General features: G+C 41.8%; 1 protein-coding gene and 1 pseudogene across 11 annotated transcripts in view; one reads left to right on the top strand and one right to left on the bottom strand.

The window, feature by feature from the left end:
- MYO3B (myosin IIIB) overlaps positions 1-22,307 on the bottom strand; it is a 477,021-nt gene that overhangs the window by 40,316 nt on the left and 414,398 nt on the right. The gene's annotated exons all lie outside the window — the stretch shown is intronic.
- HMGB1P4 (high mobility group box 1 pseudogene 4) lies at positions 12,468-14,714 on the top strand (annotated as a pseudogene).

Here is a 22,307-nt window from a genome sequence, read left to right as displayed (position 1 = left end):
AGGTGGAGGGCTCATGCTGGGAGGGAACTTTCTAAAGACAGAAGAGATAGGGCCTGTGAATTCTCTGAGAGTCAGGACTGAGGGGAGTTGTGGCCTTGGTGCAGCAGGACAGAATGTGATTGATAGAAAGCCTTATGCTATAGATGCTGGGCTTTGGACCAGCAGCATCAACATCACCTGGGAGATTGTCAGAAATATGGGATCTCAGTCTGTTCCAGACCTACTGAATCAGAATCTGATATTAAGGTTCCAGATGATCTGTGAGTGCATTAAGTTTGAGAAACTCTGGTTAAGAGCACAGCAAAGAGGAGTAAGTGCTGGTGAGAGAAGGAAGAGCAACTTATTTGTGGAAATGGCAGGGTCAGCTCATGATGGGTGCAGCTGGATTTAACATTTGGAAATCCCAGTAGGAAGTAAAGGGAGTTCCTACCTTGCAGCCTCTCTCTACTCCAAAGAGAGCCCAGGAATCCAGATAGTCTGCAGACAATGATGATCCCCATCATAACAGCTACTATGTGTTGAGTAGTGTGCTTTGTGTCAGGTGGCATTCTGGATGCCTTATATAAATTATCTCACTTAATACTCTAGCAACCTTACAAGGTGAGAATTATTATCCTCATTTTGCAGAAAAAAATAAATCACTTAGGTTTATCCAACTAAGCAGCAGAGAGTTGAGCCAGGATTCATTTGGCACCAAAGTCCATGCCCCCTTTGTTATGCCCCATTGCTTCTACTACACCCTAGGGGTAGGGGAGGTGGGAGAGAGAGCACGAGGATTGAAGAGAGGGATGAAATCTTGAAATAGAATGCAGAAGGGGATGGGAGTGGGAGCTTGTTCGGGACTTGTATTAATCAGGGTTCTCTAGAGGGACAGAACTAATAGGATATACATATTAAGAGGAGTTTATTAAGTATTAACTTACATGATCACAAGGTCCCACAATAGGCCATCTACAGGCTGAGGAGCAAGGAGAGTCAGCTGAGTCCCAAAACTGAGGAACTTGGAGTCCCACGTTCGAGGACAGGAAGCATCCAGCATGGGTGAAAGATGTGGGCTGGGAGGCTCGTCTTGTCTCGTCTCTTCCTTTCACATTTTTCTGCCTGCTTTATATTCTAGCCACACTGGCAGCTGATTAGATGGTGCCCATCCACATTAAGGGTGGGTCTGCCTTTCCCAGCCCACTGACTCAAATGATAATCTCCTTTGGCAACACCCTCACAGACATACCCAGGATCAATACTTTGTATCCTTCAATCCAGTCAAGTTGACACTCAGTATTAACCATCACAGGACTCGGACTTGGGAGAGTGTTATAGGCCCAGCTAGGACTAGAGATGATGATTTTGTGAGTGGCATCAATCTGCATTAATATGCTTTTTAGCAGTAGTGCTTAGAATCTCAGGTGTGGTAGTAGAGAAGGAAGGATTAATGTGGAGCTTGGATGCTCTGGGTAGAGGATGGAAGGACTGAGGTGTGCGTCAGAGTTCAACATAGACTTAAGATATCAAATGGAACAACCTCTTCTGTGAAGTCCCATCAGTGCCAGTGTGAACTTGGATTGCAGGTAGGGGTGGGAACTAAGAGCTGGCAGGCTGAATTGTGTTCAGCACTCCAAACCAGAAGTTGATGGGAGGTTGTTTTCATGCTTCTGAAAAGTCATTGCTGAGAGTGAGTGAGATTAATAGAGATGATCTAGTGTTGGTACACAGAATAGTTTGTGAAAGCTGGAGGGTAGCTGGGAAGTTCCTGCAGAGCTCCAGGTGGGTGGTGAGAGAGACTGGAGTATGGCCCTGCTTTCCGCATTACCAGAGTCGCCTGCTCAGGATGGCCAGTCCACACCCTAAGCTGAGTGTTGCCCCTGGTCCCAGTGCTCCGCGTAGGCCTCCCCACTTACCAGGGACAGATTGCTTCTGATGCACCCAATCTGTGAGAGCTTATAGTCCTCAAAAAGACAGTGCTTGAGTCTTTCTAAAGTGAAAAAGGAGACATCTTCCGTGGGTCATGCTCTGCTAAGAAAGCTGCACAGTAAGGTTGCTTGTCCTGAAGTATTAGGGAATTTAACAAAGCCTCTCTCTAGTTCACAAGCATGGTCTCTTCCTCCATGCAATACCTGCACTAGGCTAGGTAAGGTAAAATGAGCGCAAATATCCATTGCCATGTTGCACCCAGAATCCTTACTCCCTCTAACTCCTGCCTCCACTGTTACGTGTGGGTCAGCGTGTCAGACTCCTTTTCTCCCTGATGGTGAAATCTGTTCCTTGTTGCTCATTTGATTTTATTCAGTGCTTATTCTGTGCCTGGCTTTGTTCTACACACTGGGGATGTGGTAGTGAACAAAGATCTCTGCCCTTATGGAGTTTAGCAGTTAATGAGGGGCAGACACAATAAACAATAGGGGTAATAAGTAAGAGTGGCATATAGAATGTTAGAAAGTGATAGAGGTTATTTACACAAAAAAAGGAATCATAGGTCAGGGCACAATGACTAGCCCTGCTGTCCATAAGGCCCTGAGCACTGGCGCTGCCAAGCTTCCTTTCCCAAGATCTGATGACACCTCACATAAACCCCTTAATGCAGACACACACTAGGAATGGCCCTTGCACCACCAGGGTTGGCCTGCCCTGTCATGCTCTTTCCTGTGAAATGTTTGGGTTCATGGGAGCTGGACCAAAGAGTGGAACAGGTGACAGACAAGACAATGCATTAGTTTATGCTAACTGGTGGGAGTGCAGATTTTTAGGGAAGGGGTGGCTGAGTCCAGGCTCTCCTATCATGCCCAGGTATCAAGGGAAGGTGTGGCCAGGCAGTCCACTGTTGTTCTATGAATAGGACTCAGTGTCCCTGAGAACTGGCCTGGAGATCCATTAGGATACTACAGACAACATAATTTTTCTATTTTTTGAGAAGCATTTTTGGGCCAAGGAGGAAATGGGATTCAAAAATTGATCTGTGAAGTTCCTACATTTGGATGTAGGTCCACACAGGAGGAAAAACCCTGCTTCAGTCTATTCACTTGTAACAAAGCAAAATAAAGCCATAAACTCCTCACTGAAGCTCTAGGGAGGGAGAAACTGACAAGTTCCCTATGAAAAAGAGATGGTGTATAGAAATTAATTGTGCTATACCCATGGTTGCTATTTTCAAAGATTTATGAAATGTTATTGCTAGTCTCTTTAACATGCTGTCTTCTTTTTATTTTATTGAATGCAGTAGTAGGAGGCTTTTGAATTCTCCTGCCTGGTCCTCTCCCATCCCCAGGAATATAACTTTCAAGGAGAAAACACTGAACTACTCCTGATTTCATTTCCAATCTGTAGAATTCCCACTGTCCCCACTGTCCCCACTGTCCTCAACACCCGCATTTTGTGCAAATTTTTTTTCATACCCATTTTACAAATTTTACGTGAAGCTTTGCTGCAATAAGTGTTATTCCAGGGGCTGGTCTTTGGGGATTCTATTTTGCCAAAATGACTCTGGCCCTTGCCCTTTAAAAAAACAAACAAACAAAAAAGCCCAATCATTGTTGATAGAATATTTACTTAAAAACATTACCCCAATCATGGGTTAAACACACTGCTTCTACATGATGGATGTTATGTAAGTAATTTTGAGGCAGAGTGTTTTTAATCTGCCAAATCTCCGCTTCATAAGGATCTAGGTGGTGCCCCTCCAGTTGCCGAGGGGGCTGACCTGCTAATCCCATCCATCTCAGAACATGGTTTGTTTGTAGTCCTGATGAATTTGCCATGCCTTTCACTGGGGTAAATCTGAATCCTACATGGAGGTTAATAAAGCACCAGCCATGCTTATCTTGCTTCCCGAAAAGAACAGACTCAACGGCTCCTCTGGTCTCATGGATCTGCAACTACTTGGTTCAGAGACTATTCTCTTTTCCATGATAGTATAGCTTTGGAGAATATTAATATATTTCCAGCTCTGTGTCCATGTATTGAGAATTATATAAACTAGCTTCACAATATATAAATTGCTCAATAATTAGAACAAGCATCTCACATCAAAATAAACAATTCAAATTTCATCTACTACCCAAATGCGAAATCCTCAAGAGTGCTGAGTTATGAAATTATGCAATCACAGAAATTAGCATTTTAAAAGTTCTCAACTGATAAAAAGTACTGTACTCTGTTGGTTTTTCCTGGGTATGCTTTAGTAATAGTAAGTAATAAGATAATTAGCACAGATACATTCCATCAAGCAGGATGTAGTGGGAAGTAGGAAGTTATTTAAATTCATTTGAGAAAGCTACCATAACTGGGAAAAGAAACATATGTAGGTATCTCATGTCAGCTTTTAAAGGCCTATAGTGAGTTTTTGTTTAGAACTTGATAGAAAATTACTTGACTGCCTGATAGAGGGTAATCAATTTTGTTAACAGAGCTTGGACTTGCTATGTAAACATAAGGATCTCTATCTTGGCCTCTTCTGTAAATCAGCTCATTCAGCAATTGAACATGATGAATACACTAGAAATAAAATTTTTTTTTTTTTTGAGACAAAGTCTTGCTCTGTCACCCAGGCTGGAGTACAGCGGCATGATCTCGGCTCACTGCAAGCTCCACCCTCCGGGGTTCACGCCATTCTCCTGCCTCAGCCTCCCAAGTAGCTGGGACAACAAGTGCCCGCCACCATGCCCGTCTAATTTTGTTTTTGTATTTTTAGTAGAGATGGGGTTTCACTGTGTTAGCCAGGATGGTCTTGATCTCCTGACCTCGTGAACCACCCGCCTTGGCCTCCTAAAGTGCTGGGATTACAGGCGTGAGCCACTGTGCCTGGCCTTGGAAATAAAATTCTTGAGGTGGGCATTGGTTGTTTGACCTGTCTAACATCTCTACCCCTCTGCTGTGGTGAGAGTCTTCTCTTTCCTTTGCAGGCATTTGGATGTGGCTGATCTCCCCAGTCTGCCTCTTTCCAAATCAATTTGAACACATGGCCAGGGCCTGGCCCCCCTTTCCCCACCCAGAGTGATTAATATTAGTTCAAGAGTGGGCACAGGACCCAGGCAGGGCTGAAGTTCCTCTAGGAGATCTGAGATATGGACACTGGAAGAGGAACAGCCCTTTGTCTTTCGGGATCTTGAGTTCTACTTCATGGATATAGGCTCAGGGCTGGCAGTGGCCACCTTACCAGCACTGATAATGTCACCTGCTGAGAATAAGCAGCATTGAACCATAGGGAGAAAGAAACAGCAGCCTAATGACATCATTGGACCCCAATAAATTGTCTTTTGGTCTACGCTAGTTTGAGATAGATTTTTTTTCTGGTTCTTGTATTTAAATGAGTCCTTACACATAAGTAACTTACATAGTTGTCTCTCTTCCTGCTAATCATCAGCAATTTCCCTCCACACCTGCACACAGTGAAGGGCACATAGGGATTGTTAGCAACAGAGGTCTGAGTTATGAACATCTTGGATGGGTCTAGTACATCATGTATTAGGCCATTAGGTCCTTTTGAGCCACTAAAAATGTATGGCGATTCCTGAAGGAATACCTGCTTGTATGACATGTACGTGTGTGTGTGGTATGTATATGTGTGAGTGTGTATATTTGTGTACAGTTTTCCATTATGTTAATGTTAGCTAGAGGTGAAACAAGCTAAGTATGCCAGTATAATGTGTGAGGCATCTATTTCTCATTAATGAAGTAAACAGTGGCATTTGTGAAGGAACATGGGCAAGGAAATCAGCAAGCACGTGGGTGATTTCCCACCTACATCAGAAGAAACATGAAAGAGCAACTCTTAATTACAACCAAATATTAGCTTTGGCTCCTGGGAACTCATCATCCCATCTCAAGGTCTGTATTTATGAAAATTTAAGCAATGTCTTAAAACATGTTAACTTGTTCTTTGTTTATTTCTTTCCCTGACAGATTAATTTATTCCAAGGGACTTTGGTTCTCAAGCGCTAATATATCGATTGGGCCTATGTACGACATAGCTAACAGCCTGGGGAGGAGATTTTGATGGAAAACAAAAGTCTTTCTTGTAGTTTTCCTTAGGTAATTAACTTTATATTGTGGGCCCTGGACTGCTTCCAGTTTTCTCTGGATTTGCATCTCTCAGTTTTAGATCAATGGTTAATTTCATGAGAGGCTGGAAGTGCTGAAACACACACACACATACTCTCTGTCTGTCTGTCTGTCTGTCTCTCTCTCTCTCTCTTTGGGCTTGAATAAGCCAGCTGAAGCATACTGGGACCACGAGCAAAGTTGTATGTTTTTTTTTTTCCTATTGGGTGATGTTGTTCTGAGCACATCTATGCAAAGGACATGTAAACGGTAACAAGAATCTGAAGTGCCACCTCTGGAGAAGCAAAGGAGGGGATAAGAGAAATGCTGTTTATCATTAATGGGAACTTCTCTTGGTTGCCTTTTGGATCCTTCAATCTTGTATAATCCCACTGGGAAGTCAAAGTAATGCTTACAAAGCACCATCCTTTTAATGTCTATTAATTGATTATCAGTTCTTTTGTTGCCCATGAACTGTACTCAGAAGTCTGTGGCACTTACATATAAATATCTGTATCTTGTAGAAAGAGAAGGTACATAGCAAGTAAGTAATAAAATTACCCCAGAACCCATATGCTCCCAAACCATTCTGACGTCTGTAACTATTCTTTTTTGAGACGGAGTCTCATGCTGTCACCTAGGCTGTAGTGCAGTGGCCCAATCTTGGCTCACTGCAACCTCCGCCTCGCCTGTAACTATTCTTTACATCACGGAATTAACTTAGAATAGGAAACCTCCAGAAGTGTACCTGTCCCCAAATTTCAGGCAACTTCATAAGCATTTCTGGATTTTGTCTATAGGTATCCTTAAAAGTGTACAAACTTAAAACAGAACATCGAAAGTCAGTGACCCCTAATTATATTACTTCTCCTTCACAAAACATATCTTTCAAATCAACAAGCAAAGCAGAGGGATTTCTATTATACTTTAGAATTCCTGATTTCTACAAGCTTTGTTCCTTTACCTAGAGCGTCTACTAAATAAAAGAAACCTACATTATTATAAAATGCTAAATACAGGTCAGAACACTAATGTAGGTATTTTTACCACATAATATTGCATTTATGAATAGGCTAAATGGCATAAGCCTAGTCCTATTTACTGCTAGGATATATATTAATAACTAAAATGTAGCTAGCTATTACCAGGTGAAAACAGTAGCTGCTCAGGCTAACTGTGATAGACTGTATTACTTTTACACTAAATATTTGTGTTCCTATCCCTGAAGTGCCTCTCCCAGCAGAAAGATTCACTTCTCTACACTGCTGAATTCAGGAATGGTCATGAAACTTCCTTTGGCCAGTGAAATGTGGGCCAAAAGGGTATGTGTCTTTGTAGATAGAAACTAGAGTGTGGTTTGCCAAGTCTCTGCCATAACCCCCAGGATGATCTAGATGAAAACTGCTATATCAGCCTGGGGTCTGGAGTGAAGAGGACACAGAGCAGAGCCGCAGCTGACCCATGTAGTATAGCACAAATGCGAAAGAAACCTTTGTGGCTGTAAGCCACGAAGTTGTGGGGATTGTTTATTTCTGCATCATAATCTAATCTATCCCAACTGATACTACAGCTTAAACTAAATATGTACACTTTATTAGTTTGTACCTTTTGAAATTGTTGTTTGGTAGTAACAAACTATCTAATAGCAACAATCTCATACAATTTGACTTATTATAACTGAGAAAATAGGAATATAAGTTTCTACTCATGAATGCTTTTCCTCCCAGATGATAATTACTTATTAAGAGAAGAGTATATTTATTACTTGTATTTTATTTTATTTTGTTTTATTTTATTTTTTGAGACGGAGTTTCGCTTTTTTTGCCCAGGCTGGAGTGCAATGGCGCTATCTGGGCTCACAGCAACCTCCGCCTCCTGGGTTCAAGCGATTCTCCTCCCTCAGCCTCCCCAGTAGCTGGGATTACAGGCATGTGCCACCACGCCTGGCTAATTTTGTATTTTCTGTCGAGACACGGTTTCTCCATGTTGATCAGGCTAGTCTTGAACTCCCAACCTCAGGTGATCTGCCCTCCTCGGCCTCCTAAAGTGCTGGGATTACAGGTGTGAGCCACCGTGCCCGGCCTGTATTTTATTTTTATAAGGAACATCATAGCAGAGTTAGAGAAAATGTTGCAAATATTTACGCATTCCTAAATCCACAGCAATGCTCATCATTGATCGAATGTCCTCCATGTGTCACTTTCTAGGAATGTATTAGGTGGGCAAGACAGACATGACCCATACCTTCATGGAGATTTCATTCATTCTAGTGATGGAGTTCAACTATAAACAATAATTGCAGGCTAGGAAATGAATAGATTGTTTTAAGTCAAAATTACAGAGTAAAAGGAACTCATGGATATGGTGGTGGATGATGGCCTCTCTGAAGAGTTGATGGTTGAGGCCTGAAGAATGAGAAAAGTGTTCTAGGCTGAGGGGACAGCATAATGCAAATGGCATCTCCATGTCCCGGAGGCAGATCAGATCTGCCCAGTGTAGCTAGAATGTAGTGAGGAAGGGGATCATGATGTGAGGTAAAGCTGAAGAAATGGAGTATGGACATGTCATACAGAGCTTTGATGGCCAGGGAGGCAGTTTGAATTTTTTTTTTAAGTCAATGGGAAGCTATGGAAGGAAAATGTGAAGAAAAAGACACGAAGCAGATTATTTCTTCAACGCTGATCACTGTCTCTGCTGGGAGTCCCATATACGTACTGACACAAAGGGGAAGTGAGGGGACCAGTGAGGAGGCTACTACAGGTCAGAGGTGATGGTTATCTGGACCAGGGTTGTGGCAGTGAAGAGGAAGAGAAATGGACAAAATCAAGATGTATTCAGAAGGTCAAAACAGAACTTGTTGATGCTCTGGATGTGGAAAATGAGGGAAAGGAGACCAGCAAGAATGGCTTCCAGACTTCTGGCTTGGATCCTTGGGTGGACATTGGTGCCACTTCTTTTTTTTTAGATGGAGTCTCACTCTCTCCCCCAGGCTAGAGTGCAGTAGCATGATCTCAGCTCACTACAACCTCTGCCTCCTGGGTTCAAGCAATTCTCCTGCCTCAACCTCCCGAGTAGCTGGGATTACAGGCGCCCGCCACCAAGCCTGGCTAATTTTTTTTGTATTTTTAGTAGAGATAGGGTTTTACCATGTTGTCCAGGCTGGTTTTGAACTCCTGACCTCAGGTGATCCACCCACCTCGCCTCCCAAAGTGCTGGGATTGCAGGCGTGAGCCACCGTGCCCGGCCAAACATGATGCCACTTATTAAAACAGGAAATACCAAGGGAGGACTAAGGTTTTCAAGACATGAGGGGATCAAGAGTTCAGTTCTGGACATGCTAAGCACAGGATACCCTGGAAACATCTGAGTGGAGATATCAAGTAGGAAGCTCTGTGTGTGTCTGAAATCCAGAGAAACAATCTGGGCTGGACATATGAACTGGGGCATCATCAACACATCACTGGAATTTCAGGCTTGGAGAATAAATGTAAAGGGAGAAGAAAAAAGGTTCTCTGATGCCTGAGGAACCCCTGGCATTTAGAGGTTTGGGAGGAAACAAAGAGCAGCCATGAGGCTGGGGGAAAGCCAGAAGGGTGAGTCTTCACAGAAGCTGAGAAGAGAGTGGTTTAAGAAAACCATGGGTCAGCCTTGTCAAATGCTGCTGAGAGGCGGAATGAGAAAAGGACAGAGAAGATGCCCTGGATCTGGCAACCTGGAGGTCTTTGGCAACCCTGATAATGTGTTTCAGGAGAGCGGTAGGACCCAAAGGGGTTCTCTAGTGGGAAATACAGATAACAGGTACAGTAAAAAATGTTTTAAAATTTGGCTAAGAAGGGGATAAGAGAAGAAGGGTGAGGGAGGAGAAGCCTAAATTAACTGAGTGTTTATGTTAAAGAGAGACTGTGAAAAATCCTGGAAGTGACTGAGTTTACCTGGAAGCTACCAGATTGTTTTCTACCATCAGCAAAAATGGAGACTTGAGAACTAGCTAACTTGCTATACATGTGCACAACTGCATTGTGTGGCCTCTTTCTGAAATACCATGTTCCTTAAGGGTCACCTTCTCTTCTTTCTTTTCCCACATTTCTGGAAGGAAATTGTTTGGGTTGCTTTAATTATTATAGCTTTTCTATCCCTACTTTGTCTTTTTTTGTTGCTTAAGTTCTGAATGATATGCAGTCACTGAAGAATGTTCTTTTATTTCAGAAAGAATTATTGTTCCTCTCTAACTCAGAAGTGCTGACCTATTTGGCTTCTGTATCTGTTGATACAGTTCACTTCCCTCTTAGCTTAAGGGTCATTAAATGAGGGTAAAATTTCATTATAAATTTTATTTTTAAAATGTTTAATTAACAGTTTTAATTGAAAAAATTCACACACTTTAGGTAAAGAAAAAAAGTTAAATAGCACAAAAGATTATAGAATAAATAAGTCCTCCCCAGAACCCTAGCCCTTGCTCCAGAGGAAACTGTTGCCATCACTACCTTGTGTGAACTATTCTATATACATACAATTCTAAGGCTACATCTCCTGCCTGTAAAACAAAAATAAAAATAAAAACAAAACCCTCAAATGTGAGCATATTTACACACTCTGTGCTTTGCTTTTTTCATATTTCAATATAACATGGAGGCTTTTGCATAAAGTCAAGCATCGCTTAACAACAAGGATATGTTCTGAGAAATGTGCCACTAGACAATTTTGTCTTCATTGGAATAACCTATAGTGTACTTACACAAACATAGATGGTATAGTCTATCAGACACCTAAGCTATATGGTATAATGTGTTGTTTTTAGGCTACAAACCTGTATAGCATGTTCCTGTACAAAATACTGTAGGCAATTATAACACAGTGGTAAAAAATTGTGTATCTAAACATATGTAAACTTAGAAAAGGTACAGCAAAAATATGGTATTATAATCTTACGGGACCACCATCCTATATGTGGTTCATTGTTGATCACAACATTGTTATGTGGTCCATGATGATACAGCTATGTCATTCTTATTCATGGTTCCATAGTATTCCATTTTATGGATGTGCCATTATGTTAACAAGTTTCTACTGATGAATATTTATGTTTTCCTAAGCATTTTAAAACCAAACCAAAAATTTTCTTGAATGATTACACAAAACCTTTGCCTAAAAACACACAAAACCTTTAACCAATATGAAGTAGACAACTGTCATCCTAAATCCCAAAGACTGTTGGATTGGGAATAACTACTGTTTTCCTGTTTTGTAGTAAAAAAAAGGTGGCTGATGTTTGTGTGACTCCTTCATCTATGAAATCTGGGGATATCAGTGACACTAATCAATGCCACAGGAATAATGAGAAGAGAAAAAAATACGAAAGTTTTAAGACGTTTAGAAAAACAATCTTTTAGAATAAAATAAATATTTTATGGGCTATCAAATGGCTTATATAGCAAATGCATAGTATTTTGTATTTTCTTAGATAATATGCCACTAGATTTTTTTCAAAATAGCAATGTTTCCTAAAGATGCTTTCCTTCACACTTATATGGACAATTAATATTTTCCACTTCAAACAATACTAAGACTTCTATGGGGTTGGGGGGGCGTGGATTTCATGGACCTAAGTAACGTATTCTGAGGGTGCTTAAAGTGCCCACAGGCCTTCCCCTAGTATCACCACTGATTTCAGGGGCAGGGAAGTGGAGATTTTAGGAAAATAAAGTTTATGAAGGTTTAGAAGTTTTTTTTTGTTTTTTGTTTTTCTTTTTTGTGAGACAGAGTTTCGCTCTTGTTGCCCAGGCTGGAGTGCAATGGTGCGATCTTGGCTTACTGCAACCTCTGCCTCCCAGGTTCAAGTGATTCTCCTGCCTCAGCCTCCTGAGTAGCTGGGACTACACGCACATGCACCACCATGCCTGGCTAATCTTATATTTTTAGTAGAGACAGGGTTTCTCCATGTTGATCAGGCTGGTCTCAAACTCCCGACCTCAGGTGATCTACCTGCCTTGGCCTCCCAAAGTGCTGGGACTACAGGTGTGAGTCACTGCGCCTGGCAGAAGTCATTCTTAAAGATTTTGTCTTTTATCCCATGGGCTCTGGGGAGACGCTGGAGCTTCTGATCAGGAGGATGACATATAGTAATTGGCAGTGGCATGCAGAATAATTTAGAGGAGAGAGGGAAAGAAGAGAATCAAAAAGGACATTATAATAGTCCAACTGAGGTGAGGAAAGCCTTGGCTGGAATGGGAACAGCAGAAGCAAAAAGTAAAAAGGACCTAAGAGTGAATTTAACTTTTTTTCCTGCCCTAGCACACTTGAGAAGACAAATCCTATTAACAGTGATTCACTCTGCATTCAAAACTTTGTTATAAGTGCAGCAGAAAACCCAAATTAAAAGGCTAAGCTATTAAAGTATATTGCTACAAATCATTAAACTATATAAAAACAAGGAAGGTTAATGTTACAGAGTGGAGAGGGTGAGGAGGCTATGCCCGGCTCCCACTCTCACAGCCACTGCAGTACATTGAGCTCCACAGAGACAGTGCCGGGGCAAGTGAGAGCCGGACGGGCACTGGGTGACTGTGTGCCTCGCTGAGGAAAAATAACTCAACATGGGCAAAGGAGACCCTAAGAAGCCGAGAGGCAAAATGTCATCATATGCATTTTTTGTGCAAACTTGTCGGGAGGAGTGTAAGAAGAAGCACCCAGATGCCTCAGTCAACTTCTCAGAGTTTTCTAAGAAGTGCTCAGAGAGGTGGAAGGCCATGTCTGCTAAAGATAAAGGAAAATTTGAAGATATGGCAAAGGTGGACAAAGACCGTTATGAAAGAGAAATGAAAACCTATATCCCTCCTAAAGGGGAGACAAAAAAGAAGTTCGAGGATTCCAATGCACCCAAGAGGCCTCCTTCGGCCTTTTTGCTGTTCTGCTCTGAGTATTGCCCAAAAATCAAAGGAGAGCATCCTGGCCTGCCTATTAGCGATGTTGCAAAGAAACTGGTAGAGATGTGGAATAACACTTTTGCAGATGACAAGCAGCTTTGTGAAAAGAAGGCTGCAAAGCTGAAGGAAAAATACAAAAAGGATACAGCTACATATCGAGCTAAAGGAAAGCCTGATGCAGCAAAAAAGGGAGTTGTCAAGGCTGAAAAAAGCAAGAAAAAGAAGGAAGAGGAGGACAGAAGATGAAGAGGATTATGAGGAGGAAGATGAAGAAGATGATGATGAATAAGTTGGTTCTAGCCTAGTTTTTTTCCTTGTCTATAAAGCATTTAACCCCCCTGTACACAACTCACTCCTTTTAAATAAAAAAATTAAAATGTAAGGCTGTGTAAGATTTGTTTTTACACTGTACAGTGTCTTTTTTTGTACAGTTAACACACTACCAAATGTGTCTTTAGATAGCCCTGTCCTGGTGGTATTTTCAATAGCCACTAACCTTGCCTGGTACAGTATGGGGGTTATAAACTGGCATGGAAATTTAAAGCAGGTTCTTGTTGGTGCACAGCACAAATTAGTTATATATGGGGATGGTAGTTTTTCATCTTTAGTTGTCTCTGATGCAGCTTATATGAAATAATTGTTGTTCTGTTAACTGAATACCACTCTGTAATTACAAAATAAAAAGTGGCAGCTGTTTTGTTGACATTCTGAATGCTTCGAAGTAAATACAATTTTTTTATTAGTATTGTTGTCGTTTTCATAGGTCTGAAATTTTTCTTCTTGAGGGGAAGCTTTTGCCCATTTTGAATCACATGAATTATTACAGTGTTTATCCTTTCATATAGTTAGCTAATAAAAAGCTTTTGTCTATGCACCCTGCATATCATAATGGGGGTAAAGTTAAGTTGAGACAGTTTTCATCTGTAACTGAAAATCCAAAATCTTGATCAGTTAAGAAATTTCGCATAGCCCACTTATATTTACAAACTGATAAGTAATCAATCTACTCACAGCATGGGATTATTAGAAGCAAACATTTTCAAAGTCTGTCCTTAAAGGACTAATAGAAAAGTATGCTTTATCCTTTACATGAGGACTCTATTCTTTAACTCCCATTACCATGTAATGGCAGTGATATTTTGCAGTTCCCACATTAAAGAAGACCTGAGAATGTATCACCAAAAGCATGAGCTTAGAATATAAGACTGCCAAATTAAATTTTTTGTGGACATTAGTCTCAGTGAAGACTATGAAAATGCTGGCTATAGATGTCTTTTCCCATTTATCTAAATATGGACTGCTCAGGAAATGAGACTTTCCATTAAAAGTATTTTTAATTAATTGGGCCAGCTTTTAAAATAGGGTATATTTTCCCATATTATGGTTTGCCCCTTTATAAATCCAAGTAGATCAGAGGAAGGAAGACACTTAAACTTTGCATTTCAGTATGAATTATTCAATTTATTTGAATGATTTTTCTTTACAAAACCCAAACTCATTCATTAGTCACGTTTATCTGCCTAGCAGTTTAGGGAACAATTTGGCAATTTTGTGGTTTTCGAGATTATTGTTTTCTTGAAGTGCCAGTATTCTAAAATAGCGTTCTTATAATTTTACGTGCTTTTGTGATGGAGTGTTGTTTTGTTATGTAATTTTGACTTGGATTATTTCCATTTGGATTTGTTTATGTAATTTCAGGAGGAATACTGAACATCTGAGTCCTAGAAGATACTAATAAACTAATAATTGCAGAGTTAAAAAAAAACAACAACAACAAGGAAGGGCTTATCTTCAGAGTTCTCTATTGTTTACATCCAGTGGACCATTTTTGCATTCCTTCATTAGTGCCTTCCCAGAGCCATCACTGCCATAAGAAGCAAGGCAAGATCTCCAGGAAGGGAAAATAATCAACAATTATGGCTGACTTATGAATTTAATAATTTTTTCTAGATAAATCCTAGATAAAGATAAACATTTTAAGGATATTTGTATTAAATCTAAATATTAAAAAATTTAAAAAATGATAAAAGCAAATATGGGTGAATATTTAATCACAAGGTGGGAAAGATTTTTCTAAGCCTGAGACTAAGGGCAAGCACTCTAAAATATTGAGCTGAACACATCAAAAAGAACTTTTTTTGTTGTTTTTCTGAGACGGAGTTTCACTCTGTCACCCAGGCTAGAGTGCAGTGGCACAATCTCGGCTCACTACAACCTCCACCTCCCAGGTTCAAGCAATTCTCCTGCCTCAGCCTCCCAAGTAGCTGGGATTACAGGCGCCCGCCACCATGCCTGGCTAAGTTTTTGTATTTTTAGTAGAGATGGGGTTTCACCATGTTGGCCAGGCTAGTCACTAACTCCTGACCTCAAATGATCCGCCTGCCTTGGCCTCCCAAATTGCTGGGATTACGGCAAAAAAACCCTTTTAACGGTAAAAACAAACAAATGATAAATAGAAAGAAAATACTTGTAACAGCTATATTTGACAACAGATTACTGTGCCTAATATGTAAAGAGCTACTACAAATCTTGGGGAGTAATAGATTTTCTACCCAGAGCTCTCTTTGGAAAATAAAACAGATTGTATACACCTTCTGAAATGCCTCTCCTTTGATGTAACTGCCTGGAGTATTGTCAAATGGGTGCTACCAGTACGAACAGTATTCTATGCTTTAGCTTGATGTAGTCCTTACTACTGGGTGGTACAGAGATAGAGAATGACTAGGAACACAATGAGGAGTGAGGGAGAATGTCTTGTAGGGTGAAATGAAGACAGGATGGGTGGAAACACTGAAGAAAATGAACAGAGAAACACAAAAGCTATTTTTCAAGCCATACAGCACTCTGAGAAGTATGTATCTAACACACTGGGCCTGACCTGCAGTAGGCACTTCATTAAATGTGCATTGAATTTAAACAGAGGCATGAAAGGACTTGAGGCAAAGAGGAAGGACCTATTTCTAATAATAATTGTAATTAGAATTACAATAATGGTTAACTATAGTTTTATAGCTTACGAGGTACTAGATTCTTAGCTTAGCTCTGGACATGGGTAATTTCATTTAATTCCCGTAACAACTCTGAAAGATTTGTACTGTTATTACCATTTTATAGATTCTGAAACTGAAGCCCAGGACCCCTTAACCCAAGTTCACATAACTAGGAAATGGCTTGTTCATACAAATTTGGGCCATGTAAGTCCAGAGCCCACATCCTTACAACTACACTCTGTGTCCTTACTGCCATCCCTCACCAGCAGGTAGACCACATGTGGTCTCAATGGACTCGGGTCTGTGGCCTGTAGCCATAGCATGGTTCTTAGTATAAAGGCTGCAGTTCTGAATTTCCACACAGGATAGCTGGATTCCCCAAGGGCCATGAAGTGTCAGACTAAGCTGGAAGGCTGAGAGATTCAAAAAGGAAAAGTTGCACACAAAATAAATGATCTTTTCGGCCTTCTAATCATTCTAATCGTAGTTTCCAGTGACCAAACTGCACTCTGTTTATTCAGATGGAGGCAGGCCATGGTGCCAAGCACTGTGCATTGCAGGGGAATTCGTTCGTGAGGCCCTTTGATGTCTCATGAATCCCAGGAACAGCCGGCTGAAGCAGGCAGAGCTGCTTTGTGTTTATGCCTCTAAACAGAACCATTTGAATACACAGACCAAAAGACCTGGTCCAGGAGCACTGCGTTTTCTCCAATAGAGTGATTCATTGCTAATGTCTTCATTTTGGACACTGCAGTTGAATGTGAAACCATATGCTTTAAATTAAAAGCACACTAAGCAAATCACAAGTTTCTCAAGATGGTGCTTAAAGTCTGTTTTGGGATCTGTTCGTTGCCAAAAGACCCATATGATCCTGTAATTAAACAACAGATATTTTCTGGAAAATTAATCATTTTAGCTGTCCCCAAATGCTATAATTATGATGTTTAGGTGCTATGTTGAGAAATAGGTTGCACAACTAGACCCTTTGACCCTTTTAGAATTGTTTGTTCCCTACTCTGATATTGTCCTGATCTTTCTCTAGCCATCTTATTCTAATTCATTGTATTAGAATGTGAAGCTTTTTAGTTAAGTGAGCAATAAACAGCAGAATACAGAGCCAAAAATGTTGGCAACAGAGGCACTAATAATAGATATTATTATATCTACTTGTCCAGAAGATTCATTCGCCTTGAGGATAATACCACAATCATTTAGGGTTCATGACTGTAGTCATCAGAAACTGAGACCATCTTTTCTTTTTTTTCCCCTAACCACTAGACAGGGTGGGAACAACTGAGACCATCTTATGCAAAAAGGAAATTCACTGGAAGGAAGTCAGGGAATCATAGAATTGATGGGAGGGTTGAGAACCCAGCATGGACAATAGGCAGGATCCAGGGGTACTCTGGAGGGCCAGGCAATACAAACAGGCCTTGCTGCTGTTGTTCTCCAACCTCCACAGCTCCTTGCTTGGTTGGCTGAAGAGTCTGGGAGGAGCACCAGCTCGGCAGGGCTTCTTTTTTTTTTTTTTTTTTTCTTTTGAGATGGAGTCTCCCTTTGTTGCTCAAGCTGGAGTGCAGTGGCGCAATCTCGGCTCACTGCAACTGCCTCCTGGGCTCAAGCGATTCTCCTGCTTCAGCCTCCTGAGTAGCTGGGATTACAGGTGTGCCACCATGCCCGGCTAATTTTGTTTGTATTTTAGTAGAGCCGAGGTTTCACCACGTTGGCCAGGCTGCTCTCGAGGCAGGGTCTCTTTCAAGGGTTTGTTCCATGGTGGCTCCGTAGTGGGAGAGAGACAACATGGAGCCTACTTCCCACCTAGACAGTGAGATTTCCCAAAGAAGACAGGGATGCTGAGAGTAGGGCAAGGTAAATGTTGGACAGCTCAGAATTCTGGCACTACATCCCTGAAACGGAGATTCCCCACCCCAGCCATATTTTCCCGCCTAAGCAGAAAAATGTGTAGACAGAAAACCAACTTCATGAGGGTCAAGAAGAGGTGAAGATAGTACACCTAGTTAGAAGGGGCTAGGCTGCTCAAAGAGACTCCTTTTCTGAAGGAATCTAAGCCTATTTTACAGGCCTGTGGCTGGTGACCATGTGCGTTAAGAACAATGGCTTCTTTCACCTAATTCAGCTTGGAGGTTGCTTTCTACAAAATGCACCATTTCTTATCCCCTTAAAGGGCCTTCTCTAGGCCCTGGGGGGGCAGCGGGAGGTTTCTAGGGTAGTGGTGGTTTGGGGGCAGAGGGTGGAAAAAGAACAGAGGAAGAGATGCCTATTTAAATGAGTTGTTCTTCCCCCTATAAACCTCATGGGTGGGAGAAAACATGTAGTCAGAATTAAGGAATTTCATGGCCAAATCAAGTCCAATTATGAATGTGTGGTAATGTGTAGGTATGTAGAACAGTTAGAAACATCGTTCTGCACGGTTTACGTTGTACTCTGAGGCCCAGATAAACTCAGGTAAAAGCCAGCTCTGGTGAGGAGAAAGCAGAGGGGCTGGAAATGGTAACAGTCAAACAGGGACCACCTACCAGGTAAGGGACTCACGGACCAGTCCTCTCCAGGGCCTCTACCTGAAGCGACAGCTTTTGGGGGAGTTCAGGTAGGGGTGCCCCTCAGAAAGGTTGTGATGGGACTTGAATTATTTGTTGTATTACAACAAACCCAGCCAGAATCACAAACAGGCTAATTAGTACTTCAAATTTTTTTTCCTTTTGGCCAGAAATTAACTTACTCTGTGTGGTAACATTGACTGTATCATGCTCTTGGGTTAAGCCCTAATGGCAACCATTCCTATAATTAATGAAGTGGGAAAGTTAATTTTATTAAACAAATCCTACCCTTGGGAGAAGACATCCATTTCAAAATATAGCATCAACAAGAGAGAGAATAATAAAAGGTGTAATAGATGGTGAAAATGTTGAAAACACCTGGATTCAGGTATTTTGACTGTAAAAGGTCCTCACTAAGATGCAACTACATTTGGGAGGGTGGATTCCTTAGCAACCGCAACCACAGAAGCCTCATTCATTAGTTAGGCTGGCTGAGCAAGGAGAAAGGTTGGTTGGAATAACAGTGAGAAGAGAAGCCTACGAAGGCACAGATGGCATGCTCTTTGGAGCTGGAGGACCTTGGATAGCTCGGAATACCCTTAAAGCACTCAGAAGCCAGGCATGGTGGCTCACACCTATAATCCCAGCACCTTGGGAGGCCAAGGCAGGAGGACTGCTTGAGCCCAGGGTTCAAGACTAGCCTGGGCAACATGACGAGACCCCATCTCTACAAAACGTACAAAAATTAGCCAGTCGTGGTGGTGCGTGTACCTGGTCCCAGCTACTCAGGAGGCTGAAGTGGGAGGATTGCTTGAATCTGGGGGTTCAAGGCTGCAGTGAGCCATGTTCATGCCGCTGCACTCCAGCCTGAGTAACAGAGTGAGACTCTGTCTCATAAAACAAAAACAAAAACAAGCACTTAGAGAATAACAGTAAACAAGAAGAGGGGCAAAATGAAGATGCAGCACAGACATGAGGCTAATAATGGCTTCTACCTCGTAATTCAGTCTTCCTCATCTAAGGCTGCACCAGACAACTTATGTCTCCAGTGCCCACAAGATTCCCATCAATCATCTGGCCGTCTTTAGTTAAGGCAGTAGTGCAAGAACTATCATTTTTGGAACACCCCCTACCTGGTGTGATTGGCATGTACTACCTTTACTCCTCACCACAACCCTGCAAAACGATGGTTACCGTTCCTATTTTACAGAAATCAAAACTTAGGTTTGTGGGGGGGTAAGTAACTTACTTGCCTGAGATCCCATGGCTCGATGTCAGAGCCAGATGTGATCATCAGGCTCCAGAGCCCATGTCTATGTCCCTCTCCTGCACAGGTTCTTTCTCAGAAGCCTGGGGCACGACACTGTCCTTAGATCCTCTTCACACCACAAATTCAGCTGGGTCAAGAGCAGCCAATGAGGATTTAATGATTACCTTCTGTACCTGGTAGTTGCCGCCTTCAGGAAAGTAGAGAGGAAAGTGATAGCAACAAGTGTGTGTGTGTGTGTGTGTGTGTGTGTGTGCGCGCGCTGGGAAAGAGTGCATACTCATTGGGCAGATTGGAACAACCAGAGAAAAGCAAGGTAGGAAAGGCTGCAAGGAGGAGGTGGTGACTGGAATATAGATGGGATTGGGATTTGCACACAAAGGGTAAGTCTTAGCTTGAAGCACAGTCTACCTCAACACATCTGCTACTGGGTGGGATGTTCAGGCCCTGCCAGCCTCAGGCAATGAATTCACAGTACAAAGTTAGCCATCATGTTCCTCTCTCCCTTGAAACCTGTGGTAAAATTCCTATTTGCTATTAGAAAATTTGTTAGATGTCTGTTAGCTGCAAATGACAGAAACCACTGCAAATGTGTTTACCCAACATAGGAAACACTGGCTTACTAGAAGAGCTGGCTTCAGGTATTCCAGGGACTAAAATCATGTAACCTGTATCTTCTGTCTCCTGCTGTCCCCTGCAAGCCTAGAGTCTCTCCTCTCCTCATCTCTCATCTCCGCTCTCTTCTCCCTAGCTTCGCCATGCACTGACGATACTTTTTTTTAACTTCGTACAGCCTTCCTCTACTTGGCCATGGCGGTGGTGGTAGAAATGACAGGGCAGGAGGATGGGATTTGGAGGTCAAGAGGTAGCCATATATAAAGTCTCAGAGAGGCCTAACTTGAGGCATTTGTCCTACTCTGGACCAATTACAGTGATCAGGGAGATAGTTGATTCGGATAGATGAGCTTGGGTCACATACCCAAAGTTCTGGCCAGGGTTTAGTGTAATATGCCTGACGGCCCCATCAGAACCATAAACAGTGTGTATGTTAGGGTATAATTTTCCAAAGGAAGGAAGGTAACATGATCAAAGTGGATGAGAAGGAATGCTGGGCTGACACCACTAACAGTTGGTGACAGTGTCTTTATGAATATCAGAATGTACAATATCAGCGAGCCCCAAGAAATAACATAGATTCTCTAGGAAAAATGTTTGGATGTTTCATGATATAGGAAAATCTTGCAGTTGCTCCTGACTAATGACTACTAAGGTGCACATCATAGAGAGCTGGAAACAAAACAGTGGAAGGCCAAGGCTGCATTCATGTTCAAGTGTATAGAGCTCATTTATTTTAAGATGTGCAGTTCTCTTTTAATTACTTATGATGTCTCACAGCATACTATAAGTAGATCCCAGTATGTATTGTGAATAATAACAACATCTTAGGACTAACAGACCTCATTTGGGTCTTTGTTCTCCAGCTCTTGCTAAGAGGCAGGAGAGAGCCAGTGTTAGCTGATATTCAGATCTGCTTATCAGCTTGGTGATGTAGCTTTTCTGTGCTGATGTATACAAGGGGCTATGCACCTTGCAATCAACTGACTTAGGTAAACTCTATGAACCTGGGTAAGTTGTTTTGGGTCACTGCACCTTGGTTTTCTTATTTATAAAATGGAGATGCGGCCAGGCATGCTGGCTCATGCCTGCAACCCCAGCACTTTGGAAAGCCAAGGTGGGAGGATCGCGTGAGCCCAGGAGTTCAAGACCAGCCTGGGCAACATAGCGAGACCTTGTCCCTACAAAAAATAATTTAAAAAAATTAGCCAAGTGTGGTGGCAAGCTCAGGTAGTCCCAGTCACTTGGGATGCTGAGGTGGGGGGATCGCTTGAGTTCAGGAATTTGAGGTTGCAGTGATCTATGATCATGCCACTACACTCCACCCTGGGCAACAGAGCAAGACTGGCTCACTCTCTCTCTCTCTTTCTAGAAATCTATCTCCTCCTCTCGCTATAGACAGACAGATCTATGTACAGAAAGAGATGTAAATAGATTTATCTAGAGATCTATGTATCTATGTATCCATCTATCTATCTACCTATTTAGGTATATAATCTCTATCTATAGATATATATCTATATATAGATCTAGATATCTAGATATCTATATATATCTATCTCATAAAACAGATATAGATATATCTGTCTATATATCTATATGTATCTATATCTATCTATATGGATAGACAGAGAGAAAGAGATGTAAGAGATGGTAAGACCCCCTAGAGTTGGTGAGTGATTCATTCATTAATGTATTCCAACAGTCAGAAATATTTATTGAGCATCTACCATGGCCATGTGATGGGCACCAAGGATACTTCACTAAAGAGAATGTACATGATCCCTGCCCTGCCCTCATGAACCTTATGGTCAGTGAAGGGGACAGATGAAAGGAAAGGAAATTCAAACAGCACCCAGGGACAGGGCCTGGTACACAGTAAGTGTTCAATAAATGTGAATTGCCTTATCTTCTCTTTGCCGGC

This window comes from Homo sapiens, chromosome 2 (assembly GCF_000001405.40).
Source record: "Homo sapiens chromosome 2, GRCh38.p14 Primary Assembly".
NCBI lineage: Eukaryota > Metazoa > Chordata > Mammalia > Primates > Hominidae > Homo > Homo sapiens.
Note: the sequence above shows the minus strand (reverse complement) of the source record. Positions and strands in the feature narration are given on the sequence as shown.